Source organism: Homo sapiens, chromosome 6 (assembly GCF_000001405.40).
Source record: "Homo sapiens chromosome 6, GRCh38.p14 Primary Assembly".
In the NCBI taxonomy this organism is placed as follows: Eukaryota; Metazoa; Chordata; class Mammalia; order Primates; family Hominidae; genus Homo; species Homo sapiens.
This window is the reverse complement of record NC_000006.12, coordinates 101,383,466-101,398,169: the sequence shown is the minus strand read 5'-3', so window position 1 is coordinate 101,398,169 and position 14,704 is coordinate 101,383,466. Positions and strand designations below refer to the sequence as shown.

General features: G+C 39.6%; 1 protein-coding gene across 5 annotated transcripts in view; it reads right to left on the bottom strand.

The window, feature by feature from the left end:
* Window positions 1-4,462, bottom strand: part of GRIK2 (glutamate ionotropic receptor kainate type subunit 2) — a 676,376-nt gene extending 671,914 nt beyond the window's left edge. For 4 of the 5 annotated variants that reach the window (NM_021956.5, XM_047418682.1, XM_017010781.3 and 1 more), the window contains exon 1: window positions 4,333-4,462. The gene's annotated coding sequence lies outside the window, so the exon portion shown is untranslated. Of the gene's footprint in view, window positions 1-3,817 lie in introns of all 5 variants that reach the window. The other variant, XM_047418681.1, reaches the window with a different exon arrangement.

Here is a 14,704-nt window from a genome sequence, read left to right as displayed (position 1 = left end):
CCTAAAGAGGCAGAATATGAGATCATAGCATGAGCGACATTGAGTGTTACAGATTCCTCTAAAACTGTCTTATCATTTGCTAGTTTTCTGGTAGGAATATTTAGAGTCACTAGGTAGTGACTCTCTTGGCTTTCGTTAGGAGTTTATTCAAGAAATAAAGTACAGAAATAGAATTTCTTTCAACATAAAAATACATTTTTATTATTAAAATAAGTAATATTCTGTCTATTTATTAAAAATATACAATTTTAATATTTTACACTAAGTAAAACTAACTTGTATAATAAATATATATTGTCAACATTTTTAAAAGATTAAACATCACAAAAGGCAAACTGTTGGACCTATATCTTATCATTAATCTATTTTTCATAACCAACTAACAGGGCATAGGTTAAATCTCACAAAAAAATATCCTATCTGAAGGCTAATTTTTAAATAAGGAGTGATATGAGTGATATGAATATTCGACTTGCTATTTTTTCCTCCAAACAGCAAGAAAACACTGTAATGTTTTCATTTCCTTACAGCGATTTTTTAATTTAAATTTTCTTAAGATATTATAAAGTGCTAATTTAAAGAGAAATCTACATTTTGCAAAGGCATTAAGTGGCATTGATTTTTTTTAAGATGGAGGCAATAACTGCAGTGTCAAAAATAAGTATCATGAATGGCTAGTTCTGCAGTATAGCAGGCAATTCAATCAAATAATTCGACTGTTCGAGCACCTTAAAAGGAACACCTAGTGCTAAAACCAAGGGTATCTAGCGACTCCTTCAGTCCATGTTTAAAATATCTCTTATAAAACACATACACAGCCCAACACGTTCTGTCTTCTATTTGCTGTCTCATTTATTCCATTCTGTTTGTTCATTTTCTTTTTGATCCTAGCAGAGATAATAATGACTGCCAGGGGAAAAAAATAATCCTTCACATTTTTATCTGCCAATATAACTGATATCTACTACCTGAAAATAGCATGTTTTATTGTGACTAATCAAAATACTGAAATTTCACAGTGTAGCTGGCATTTATTGGAACCTGAGAAAACAAAATGTACCACATCTCTTTGTTCATGTATTCCATTAATATAATGACATTTTACATTATGGTTGCAACTTTTGCACTTGAAACTAGTATTCTAAACTATTTATTTTGGGGGGTTATTTGGATGTCTAGTTGGAAAAGTGAAAGATCAAGCCTCTATATTCATGAAGTTATTACACAATAAATTAAACAGTTAAAAGATTGTACTTTTTTAATATTAATTGATCCCCAAAGAACCAATTTTGCACATATGGTAAATTAGATTCATTTACATCCATCAACTCAGTTGAAAGGCTTTAGCACAACAGACAGCAATTCCACCTGTCCAGTTGAACTTCTAAAAGACTGGAGACGACCTTTCTTCAGGACCACGGACAGCGCTCCTGGCATTCATTATTCTGGAGTAGTACATTGAAAGTAGCACAATAAATAACTAACATGATATTTGAGTGACAATGTGTAAATTTCTACTACACAGAGTAAAGGAATTGGAATTATTGCATTGTTCACATTATCAAGAGGACTATTTTATCAACTGTGTTGTGTGTATTTTTCAGTGCAATTGCTTGATAAGCCCAAGATGTAGTTATCTTTTTTTGTAATAGGGCATACTGTTAAAAAAACTACTTATATTAATTGTGAGATTCCTCATGAACACTAAACTACTTGATTGTCAGTACAAAAAAAAATTGCTAGAAAGACCACAATTCAGAATGCCAAATAACATGCTGTCAATATTCAGTGGCTAAAGACATTTTTTAAATGTACAATTAGTTATCACTTTCAATTCTCCACCTCCAGATTTCCATCTGTTACTAGGGTAATGAGATTAATTCTTGTTCTTTCACATTAAACTCACTCACTTCCTGGGGGGGGGGGGAATGCTAAATTTACATCCCTATACTACAATAAAATGATTTGGTGGCATAGTTGATGCCTTAACATGTGGCAATTTTGAAGTTATTACAAGTTTCTCCCCAATACTGATACCACACATCATAGTTCTGAGGTTATATGAAGGATTAATAAATTCCTTACACAGTATTTCACTGACTAGATTTAACCCTTTTAAAAATTGTGTCAGTTCTGTAATTTGCTTCTTCCTTAAAGGAAAGAGAAAACTACTGCTATTGGATATCAGGCAATTATATATACTTAGTAAGATTTATATATTTTATTCTATGGTCTCATTTTTTTCCTCATTTTAACCATATGGCACTCTTTATTTCTATGAGCCAAAGCTCTGTAGATTCCAAGGTCAAAGCAGAGATAACAAACTGCAAAAACACACATACACGCACACCCAGAGAGAAGCTGTATTTAGAAGTATACCTCAAAAAAATCATAGAAGGCTGACACAAATATCAAACCTATGATAAATTGACAAAGAAGAAAATGCATATCATGTTAATGCAAAGCTTCTTCCAACAATAACAAAAAAACCCACTAGCTTCATCTTTCACTATATTTTTATATTTGCAGATACTAATGACCTCTTATTCTTGGGCACTATTACTTGAGAAACAATTTTAGTTTCCTATTCTGCCAGTGAAAATGAATCTTATTCTAGTTAGCTGCCACCTGCTGGGGTATGAGAAAATGTGTAATAATCTTTATAGCACAACATTTAAAAAGACAATGCCTATACCTTTTGCTGGAAACAGCAAATACATACCCCAGAACAACCTGAATTTCAAAGATGTTTCAAAGGTTCTTACATGCCATAGCTATATTTAAATTTTTCACATGGAATTCTTACTAAGGATTCCACTTGACTTGTCACGGAAGTCCTGCTGTTATGTGACATTTGAAAAACCTCATCTTATAGTAACACCTAACCTATTATTCCATGCAAGTGGCCTGTTGCATAGCAATTTAGCTAAAACAAACAGCCTGTTTATACATGGCATTAAAGATCTCAGAGAATAAAGTCAGGACTGAGTCAGGTTTCAGTTGAAATCACACTGTTGCATACTTGCAACTCACTCTTCTTAACTATGCATGCTGTGGTATCCCTTATGATTCTGAACACATTATCAGCTGTTCCAGCAACATTCTGCTGCATTGATGATTAATGACATTTAGAGTTTTGATTAATTTTTAGACACTAAAATAAGTGTATCTTAATTAACAAATTGAAGTGGAATAAATTTACATATCCCAGAACTTTTTTTTTTAAATTTCAGCCTGTGTGATTTTCAATGGGTTTAAATAGGAGAAAACAAACAGATAAGACTTCCAAACATTGCTCAATTCTCTATCACCTTGCTCTTGTGCATTTCAATTTTTTGTTGTTTGTTTGACTCAAAAGTTTTTAAGGCCACTGGAAGTTGATAGGCTGCCTTGGTGGTTACAGGAATAGACTCTATAAAGTTAGAAAGTAATGAACTAAGACAAATCAAGATTGAAATACAATTGCATTTATTTCAGTAACTAAACTGACTAATTAAGACTCAAATGAACCAATCATCTCTCGTGAAATGAAAATAATCATCAATCCATAAGATAATTTCTGATGACAGAATACTTACAGTATGGAGATGAATAAACGATAGAAGATAATCTGTGCATTACCAAAAGGCTACTAATAGTAAGTTTTCTAATATTCCCCATTGCCTAAATTGGAAATTATTCTCTAAGGAGCCTCAGCTCGGTCGTGTTGTTTGGTAAAGAAACTCTATCTCCTTAAAGGTAAAAATATCAGAGGATGTGGTTCGTTAAAAGTTCTTGAGGTTTATGATCCACCCTGGTAACACTGCCCACTCCTTACCCTAATGGGACGCCCTCCAAGTTTTTTCAGAAGCTCTTAATACGGGTGCCGGTTAAAATAAATATACTTCCTCAGCGCAGAACTAAGGAGTAGGGTTAATGGAAGGATGGGTGGGCAGAAGGAGGGATGGGGAGTTCGTCAGACCCGCCGGCAGCCACACAGCTTCTTGCCATCTGTCTCATTCTCTTCGCCTCGCGTGAGTCCCCGTAGCTGAGGCCACTTCCTGACACGTCCACTTCTTAAATCATTTTATGTGGAGAACATAGGCGACTGCAGCCAACAGAGCCACTTGCATGCTTGACGGGAATTGGCTGAGATAAGCCCGACAAAGACTCGCAGTGAATCCGTCCAGCGGGCGCCCCGAGCGCACGGACGTCCGCAGCGCTACTGTTCGCCTTCTTCCTTCTCTCCAGGTGGAAAATGCCCCTCGCCCACCCGCAGTCCCTCCCGTCCTCTTGAAAACAAACACCTCGTGAAGGAGCCCGGAGTGCAGCCCACAGCCGGGGAGTCCTTACCTGGAGCTAGGGGTGAGGTGGGCGGGGAGGGGGTGGGGTGGTCCTCGGGGAGGAGCAGCCGGAGGAGGTCGGGCGGAAAAGTCCCCAGCTACCAGACCGACCAGCGCAGCCGCCGGCGCCGAGCGCGAGTGACGGCAGCGGCGAAGACGGTGACCGAGGAGCAGCAGCGGCGGCGGCGGCGGCAGAGACAGACACGCCTCCTGGCGGGGGTTCCTCGCCTCTTGCTTTAAAGGCGCCGCGCTCCTTTCCCCGTGGCCCCTGCACGCTCCTGGCCGCCGCGGCCACTCGGGGGCATCTCCCACCCCTGGACCACAGGAGCTAGAGCGAGAGAATTCCTGGTGTCCCTAGACTTGGATGTTACGAAGCCTCCGGCTGGACTTCGCTCCCTTAGCGCACACCCGCCTCCTGGGATGGGGAGACTAAGGCCAAGATGCTCTGTCAGGGAGTGAGTGATGCATGCAAAGCGCCGAGGAATTTGCCTAGCCTTGGGTGGTGACAACACATATAAGGAGCCCAAACACATTTGCTTCTGGGTGATGGCTTTTATGCCTCTCCGAAACCATAGCAACGAAACTTCTCCACTGCCAGGGCTTGGAGGGCTGCTGGTAGTCTCCAAAGTGGACCTCTTAGTCCAACTACGGTCATTTCCCTGAGGTTCGCAAAAAAAGATCTTGATCTGCGCACCCTCCCACCCCGACCTCCAGCGCATAGAGCAAATGCGCTCTGGTAGCGCTGCTGCGGGTATTCCCTCAGATGCTGGGAGTCACAGTGCCCTGCTCCCTGCCACCATTATTGAGAACAGATGCTTGGAAATTGACTTTTCCTGAGTGTTAGGAGGTCGGGCGGGCTGTCTCTGTGTATGTATGGCGCCTTAAATAGCAGACTCCCCTCTCCCCACCAAACTCCCGCCCAGGCCCCGGAACTCTCAACCTAAACACATTTCAGAAAGAAGTTGGATTCGAGATCTAGTGGGCGCCGAACCTGAGGTCGCAGACTCCAAGATTGGAGACAGGAGTCTGGGAAGCAGCCCTGGTTTGGCGGCCACTGGTCCAAGTTCTCGGGAGGACTCTTTTAAAGGCCAGAGATGGGGAGGGGCAACTGAGTCCCAGAGTCTTCCCGCAGCTTGGCTTCCAGGGAGGGGCTGGCGGCGGTGAGCGCACCAGGCTCTCCCTGCTTCACTGTGGAAACGATTAGCTTTTGCAAACAATCCCTGAGTTCCGCTCCTCTGGGTCGGAAAAGTCAACATCTATTCAAAACCGTTGCTATTTTATCCTCAGCCCTACAATATTAACTGGAGCTGAGTTTAGCAGTTTCCCCCAGAGGAAGTTGGCCAGCTCAGATTCGCGAGGAGATTTAAGTGAGGCTAAGCGGGAACAGGCCAGGCGCACTGGGCTCAAGAGACCATTTCAAACGGGCTGCATAAAGAAGGGGCCAGGGGGGATTCCACGGCTCTGCAGTCCCCTAGCAGTTCCAGTCCCTGGTGGTTCTCCACTATCTATCTAATTCCGAGGTCCGGGAATTAGAGAGGCTCTGAGTCCCCAGGGACCCGTTGTCTGAGCTGGAGACCAGAACTTGCCCTTTTGCTTCCTCCTTCACTGCAGCCCTAGTAAAGTTAAGCCCTCGCCGGACCCTGGCGCAGCAGGGCCATGTTCCACACCCTGAGGCTAGCGCCTGGCTCAGAATAGCTCTGAAACACAGAAATTCAGTCCTGCCAAAACCGCCAGTCTTTCCCTCTTGGTCACCATCCAGGACTCTCTGCGCCCCGTTCCCCACAACATGCTTACTGAGCATTCCTGGGTGGGGCAGGGTTGGGGGGAGGGGGACTGGGGACTTATGTTAAGGAGAGATGAGTTAGTGGCAATGGAGAGTCCATTAGTCATTTGAAGATCCCAGGGGTGGCTGGGCGGCTCCCTTAATTAAGTCAACAGCAGCCTTGTTCTACCCAGTAAATAAATAGTCAATGACTCTATTGTGCATCCTGGAGCGGGCAGCACAGACGCGTGACCGGTTCTGGGCGCCTGGGCTCCAGCTGCTGTGACCTGCAGCCTAATGGGCCCTCGAGGCACAGCCGAGTTTGGGCCAGGCTCCGAAAAAATGCCCCATTCTGTCCCATTCCTCCATGGGAGTAAGGAAGATAACTTGTCTACTGGCTAAAGACTCTCTCCTTGTCATGATTACATCCACCCACTTCCAGGCAGAAAGGAGCAAAACACCAGCACGAGCAGATTCCAGTGGAAATCCCTGAGTGAAGGCACCCAGCTCTTGTGACAACTCTGAGAGTGTAGAACAGAGTGTGTCTAATTTGACATTAAGTGTTTAGCATAGAGTCTGGCATGCAGTAGGTGCTGGATAAAGAATGGTACTGGGATAGACCTTCCGCTTTCCACACTGTTGCCCCCAGACCCACATTGTACTTGGGAAAGGAGAGGCTTACTAACAACTTCCTGTTAGTGCTGTGTATGATTTGAGAGCCTTGTCACGAATCTATTTTTTTGAAGCAAACAGGACACACTTGTAAAGACAGAAATAACAAGTCCCAACAACAGCATAGGAGAAAATAGGAGAGAGCTGGAGTGTAGAACAAATCAAAATTATGCATGCTGTGACAAATTAATTTTCTCAATAGCAAAATATTATCTAGATTCCAATGAGAAAAACAGACTAACAAGGGAGCATTAGACACCACACAATCTATTTAACCCTTCAAAAATAATTCAATGCTATAAAGAAATATTTTTCATGATTTATTTTAGGATTTAGGAAGTTAAACATTTAAGGAATGAGATCTCAAGTATCTTCTCGGGCAACCATGAAGCTTTTTTTTCTTTTATTTCCAATCACTCTTAAGGTTTAATCTTCTAAAATTTAGAAGGTTGCTAAGTCCTTCAGCTACAGTCTTATGCAGGAACAACATCCCTACTTACTCTCTCTTGCCCGGCTCCCGCCCTCTCTTTCTTCCCTCTCAAAGTGCTCTTAGAACATTAGCAGCTCAATATTTCAATTTCTGAAGACACAGCAAAGACCAGTCTGAATTCAAGCTAACTACCAGGATGTTTGTTTGTTTTGGCTTGATTTTGTTGAACTGAATGTAAAATTGAAAAGTATTATTTTGGATCATCTCATTAAACACCTTCATTTTATAGATGGTAAAAACCAAAGTGAGAGAAAAGGAGTGACATACTCAGGATGTGGCAGAACTGAGACTGCCTTCTAACTGTGCAGAACAGCATCAGGCCGTCTCTTGTAGTCTCTTTCAAAACTTAGACTTATATGAAGTCAAGACTTAAAGACATTTCAAGGAAATCTACTCTAGTTCAGTTTTCACAGACCTTTCTCTCATCTGAAAACAAAATGAACACATGTGCAATGACTTCAAAATTTTACATGCAATAATAGGAGATGCACAGATGCCTTGAAGGCCATCATGGGCTGGTGAGGAGCTTCTTCACCCTAAGCTGAGAACCACCAATCTATTCCAACAATGTGATTTTAGAGATGAGAAAATCTAGACAATGAGAACTTAAAGAGTCACAGAGTGAGTTAAAAATAGTTCTAGGACTAGAGACCCGGTATCTTGCTTCCCACTTATTCCCATTCCCTCAGGTCATTTTAGCCATAATTGGACATAAACATGCTGAAGAAGAAATGAACGGATGTCCTTGATTAGTCAAGAAAGGATGGGACCTAGTACAAGAAGAGGGGTTTACTTTGGAATAGGAGAAGGACCAATAAACCCTAGTAATAGGAAGGGAGGCACAGTATATAATGCAGATGTCAAATAGTTTTTAAGTGTGGTGTTGAGGGTCTATTTTTCCTACATGCGCTCCAAAGCCCTATGCTGGGCTACTTTGCTCCATAGATACCTTCCTTACCACTCTCTGCCTTCCACTATCCTAACTCTCACGCAGATGACTGTTTTGCTTGGTCTCACTTAAATAATTTAGTACTGAATTTTTCAGTAAGGGAAGGGAAGGAGAAGAAGAATAGGAACAGAAAGAGGATACGAGGTCCTGTTGTTGTTCTTTGTGTTTTCTTCATGACGTAAAAGTAAAAAGCAAGCTAAGAGTCTTGAGTAGGGAGAAAGTAATAGATGTTTAAGGAGAATGGAGAAAATGTGGCATTTTTATCAGGAGCATTTTATCAGGAGTGTGAAAGGATAATAAAATGTAGTTGGATACTTGTCCAACAGTCAGGGCCATTCTACCTTGATGACTTAGGAATCTTTGAACATTTCAAGAACTCTCATTCTTCCTTTCTACCAGTATAAATCTTAGGCTCTTTAGGTTACAATACTTGGCATTATCTCCCCCCATCTACTCCACTACTGTTACCTCTTCCCTTACCAATTCCTAAATCTCCAAGTCCTACTTCAAAACAATTGAAGTAGCTAATTATAAGATCGATGTAAAAGTAATTCCAGTTTTTAATAACTTACTTTTTTTTTTTTTTTTTTGAGACACAGTCTCGTTCTCTTGCCCAGGCTGGAGTGCAATGGCACGATCTCAAGCTCACTGCAACCACCGCCTCCTGGGTTCAAGAGATTCTCCTGCCTGAGCCTCCCACATAGCTGGGATTACAGGCACCCACTGCCATGCCAGGCTAATTTTTTGTATTTTTAGCAGAGACAGGGTTTCACCCTGTTCCCCAGGCTGGTCTTGAACTCCTGAGCTCAGGCAATACACCCACCTCGGCCTCCCAAAGTGCTAGGATTACAGGCATGAGCCACCATGCCCGGTCATAACTTATTCTTTTAGCAAGTATTTATTGAGTACCAACTATGTTCCAGGGAAATGAAGACACAACAATGAGAAAAAAAAATTGAGACAATACACCTTCTATGACATTTCTAAAACCACAAGGTAACTTCTGTTAGCAAGATTATGATATTCTTGCTTTCACTTCTTTAGAAAGTACTAATAGAAAATCAGGAATGTATCAGCAGAACATACACAAGTGGCATCCCTTAGAGAGGTATGTTGTACCAGAAAATATTTTGTGCTAGACTCCCCACCCTACCTCCAAAGAAGAAGTAAAGAAGCAGTTATCATTAGGAGTATGGAAAAGTGGAGAGAAATGGGAAGGCATACAGGGGCAGAAGCATACATTTTCTCAAAGCACAGGATCTAATTTGTCAAATAATAAGGAAACTCCCAAATATATATCCTCAGGACTATTCTCTACCCACCTATGCTCTCCACTTTTTTTCTGGGCGCTTAATGCAAGGATTCACGGAGAAACAAATTATTATTTGTCTAAAATCTGCTACATTCTAGGCAGGCATACTTTTGCATAAAATACTACATTTAATTATTTGAATGGTCTTATCAAATGCAAAATTCTCATTTTAAAGATGAGTAAACTAAAACAGAAAGAGTTCATGTAATTTGCCCATGGATGCACAGCTAGTGAAGATAGAGCTAGTATTCAACTCTGTAGTTTATTGCTCTTGCTGGTACATCAGAGAAGGTAAGTGGGAAAAAAGTCATATCTATAACAGCTCTCTGTTTCAAATCAGAAAGGATTTCAGATGTTGTTTCTAAGATGCAAGAGATAAATCTCTATGAATTATACTGGAATATGAAGGGCTAGAGAATATGGAGCAGCTCAGATTGAGTAGATTTTCCCCCCTCAGTAATCCCCTGAGAAAAGGCTTTGGAGCCAGAAATCAGAAGAAGCTTTCTCTTAGAGAAAGCCAGCTTAAAAGTAAGTGGAGAGATCTTGCTTTCAGCTTTTATCAGAGTTCAAGCAAACTCCCAAAACTTGAACCGATCCCCTAACAGTGTTTTCAACAGATCCTAAATGATACCACATGCCAACAGCATTTTTTGCAGTAAGCGAGAACTGAAGACAAAATCACTTCTGGTAACAACCCTTCATCCACAAAGATAATGTCTTTTTAGTCATTCCTTCCATGAGACAACCTATGCTTATTAGTTACTAAAATTGACTATGTAACTGTCCAGTGGAGACGGGCAAAATAGACACTGGAGATGATTTCTAAGAGTGTTGTGTTCATGCATTGTTCCAATAACAGTATAGAATTCACTGGATATGTCAAAGGATTCAAACCAACTTTGTAAACTGGTTCAGAATGTCAAACCAAGATTTATATTCATTTTCATTTCTATTTATTTAAGCTGTACAACATGATGTTTTGATATACATATACATAGTGAAAATTTTACTACAGTCAGCTAATTAAGATACTCATCCCTTACACAGTTAGGTTTTTTCTTTCTTTCTTTCTGTTTCTCTTTCTTTCTTTCTTTCTTTCTTTCTTTCTTTCTTTCTTTCTTTCTTTCCTTCCTTCCTTCCTTCCTTCCTTCCTTCTCTAGTAACGAGAACACTTAAGATCTAGTCTCAGCAAATTGTGATTGATTCAGTTTACCACAGAAGAAGTCATTTTGATACAGAATTAAGACTGTTTCCTTAAAAAGTTTTTCCTGGAGGGGTCATCCATGTTGCAGAAAGCTACTAAGGAGGGCCTTTAGAAACTGACCAGGGTGTCAATAGATTTTCTTCCTCTAATTTAATGTACTGACTCTAATTAGAAAATTTTCAAATCTTTTATTGCAGGTGAGCTCAGCTTCAAGGGCTAACATTCATTAAGGATATGGACACTCTGCTAACCACTTGCATTTCACATTCCTTCCTACAGAAGGATCACACGGGCTGCTCTATCAGGGTTGCTATGGCCTAGTGTGGATGTGCACTGTTGGAGAGTACACAACAGAGGTAATGGAATTCAGTTATGGTTTTTAATTCTGCAAATTAATGGATGAGGCAATAAGTTTAAAATGAGAGGAAAATGAACAGAGAGGAAGCTAGAATAAAAATGTAGGCCCATACTCTGTATGATAATGAAAAGTGTGAAAATCAGAAAATAAACTTTTATTTTGCAATCTGTTGTCCTAACAAACTTTTAATACATAACTGTTTCAATCTGCTTCCAGATCAGCATCCCTTTGTAAACACATGTTAAATTTGAGTACAGAGAGATGGACAATTGCAATGCATCACTTAACTGCATCAATATTTTATGTAGTTGATCATATAAAAATCAGAAGCAGATTTAGTGTTCTCTGTGGACTGTAGGGACTAAGAGTTTGTTGACCACATTTCCACTTCATAAACAGAGTTATCCAACCAAGACTTGTTTAGAAACTAGAAATGTAGTCAAACACACTGTCCCTGATGCTTCATTTACTCTTCTAAGCCAACACATTGATAATTTTAGAGCTATTTCTACAAAACTAGATACATACATAATTAGGAAAATAGGAGAAAATAATCTATAATATGGAAAGTAATAATATATGATAATTAGAAACTGATATTTTGGTGGATAAATCAGAAGAAACATAGTAATTTCTATATTATGTTTCAATATTCACTCATTTAAAACAGTACATAGGTTTTATACTTACATGCATTTCACTATATTTATAACATTACAGTAAAGAAATTAGGTCTTGAGCTCCAGTTGTCAAAAGCCAGAATCATGGAAGTTAGTCTCAGCTATAAGGGGGTAGAATCTAGAATTTACAAATATTTTTCACTTATTTCTCCCATTTTATATGTATAACTAAAAACTGTCAAGACGTATATATTATCCTCATTTTATAAATGAAGAAAAAAAAGTACAGAATAATTTTATGGCATAGCGAAAACAACACCGGACTAAAAGTTCCATTAACTAAACATGCATTTAAACGTAATATCTTTGGTAAGTCAGTTAATTCTCTTATGCTTTCGTTTTCTCACTTGTAAAATCTGGAGCAAGAATTTATTTTGAAATCTATGAGGTCCCTGTAATTTACAAAAGTAACGATTTCTTGGCAGAACAAGTATCACATTATAGTCACTGGTAGAACAGGGGTAGAACTCAGGCCTCTGGACTTTCACCACAAACTTGATGATAAAACACATCTGAAATCAAGAGCTAAGCTACAGAAGATATACAGGTCTTTGCTTTATCCTTCATGCAAAGTCATCAGAAACATGCAAAACTCACGATCTAACTTAAAAATAAATCTTCCTACAAAAGAAGTGATAAGTTTTGTTCACTTAGCAAAAAGCACTAAAAATACTAATTTAATCATTTTGTGCCTAAAGTTAGTTAATGTATAAAAAAGCAATACCACAATGATTTTTATAAACATTCTTTGATTAAACTCAATCATTTACTTACTCAGTATCTGGACCCAGGCAGCTGAACATTTCTAGAGAAAATTAAACAACTGGGCTGTATGGGGCTGAATAGTGAGTGTCTCCCCCAAATTCTTGTCTATTTAGAACCTATGAATGTGAATGAGATCTTATTTGGAAAAAGAATCTATGCTGATGTAATCAAGTTAAGGAGAGGGTATACTAAATTAGGTGAGCTGTAAACCCAATATAACTTGTGTCCTTATAATAAGAGGAAAATTTAGACACTGGAAAATATAGGAGGAATGCCGTGTGAAGGTGGAATAGGGATAGGGATAGGAATGATGCATCTACAAATCAGAGAACATCGGGGTTGCCAGAAACCACCAGAAGCTAAGACGAGTTTAGACAATTTTTCCCTCAGAGCCCTCAGATGGAACCAATTTGCCAACAACTTGATTTTGGACTTTTGGCCTCCAAAACTGTGAGAAAACAAATTCCTGTTGTATCAGGTATCATCTGGCCAAAGGCAAGTGCATTGCTCTGTTGACATCTATTCTTATATCATGACACATACATACTTGATCTTCCAAAAGATGGCATGACCCTGCTTTCTCTTTTGAACTTGTGTTCTGGATTCTATACTCTCTCACATCCTCAAGCATTCTAATCCTGTTATATAGCATCTTCTTCTTAAGAAAAGAAGAAAATAAGTTTCCATCCCATGTCTCTCTTCAGCTACAGCCCCATTTCTTTACTCACCTTCACAGTAAAAGTTCTTGAGTCCTCTGACCTTGTTTCTATTTTCCTACCTCATTTTTTTCACACATGCCACTTGAGCATCTATCTCCTCTATTTCACCAAAACTGCTCTTGCAAGATCACCAGCCTCCTTTGTGTTGCCAAATCCTTTGCTGCTGTTTGTGTCTTTACCTTCTACACTCATAAAGGGCATTTCACATCTGTAGACCAACTTCACTTTTTTGAAATGCTTTTATAATTACTATTTTAATATTTATTGTATCATAATTTTCTGTTGTTCCTTTTCAGTCTCCTTTGTGGGCTTTTTTCGGCTTGCTGATGTCTAAATGTTGGAGTGATCCAGTTTTAGATCTTTTATACTCCCAAGTGGACTAATTTAGCGTCATGGCTTTTAAATACTGTCTATATGCTAAATACCTATTTTCAGTTTTTATCTCTCTCATGAGCCCTAGCTCTTATACTCAGTTTCATTTGAAGGTCTAATAGGACCATGTTCCAAGCAGAACTACAGCTGCACACCAAACTTTTACTTTTAGTCTACCCTATATTAGTAAGCAGCAGCAACATCTATGCCATAGTCCAAGTCAAAATTCTGAGTCACTCGTGATTCTTTTCTTTGTCTCATTACCACCCCCATCGCCAATTCATCACCAAATCCTTCTAGCTATCCCCCCAAAATATATCCAAAATCTGCCCATCTTGTCATGTTTATCATCATAACCTTGGCCCATGTCACTATCATCTCAACCTATGCCACTGCTATAATATATAAAATTGTATTATTGCTTCTGCTCTTGCCCCTGTGATTCATTCTCCAGGTAGCATCAAAGTGATCTTCCATTATTACATCTTTCTGCTTAAAACCCTCTGATACTTGCCCTATTCAATGAATTTTTGTAATGCTTAACTTTTAAAATGATCCTACAAAGGCTACTCATCTCTCTAACTTTATTTTATTTATTTATTTATTTATTTTATTTATTTTATTTATTTTATTTATTTATTTATTTATTTATTTACTTGAGACAGAGTTTTGCTCTTGTTGCCCAGGCTGGAGTGATGCAGTGACATGATCTCAGCTCACCGCAACCTCTGCCTCCCGGGTTCAAGCGATTCTCCTCCCTCAGCCTCCCGAGTAGCTGGGATTACAGGCATGCACCACTACGCCTGGCTGATTTTGTATTTTTAGTAGAGATGAGGTTTCTCCATGTTGGTCAGGCTAGTCTAGAACTCCCATCCTCAGGTGATCCACCCACCTTGGCCTTCCAACGTGCTGCGATTACAGGTGTGAGCCACTGTGCTTGGCCTCTCTAACTTCATTTCTTACCAATCTCACCCTCTCTCACAATGGTCTAGTTACATTGGCTCTTACTCCTTTTCTCTGAATATGCTATGCTTCTTCCAGCCTCATAGCCTTTGCATTCATGTGTTCTCTATGCTAGATTTCCTGTTCCCTCTGTTGA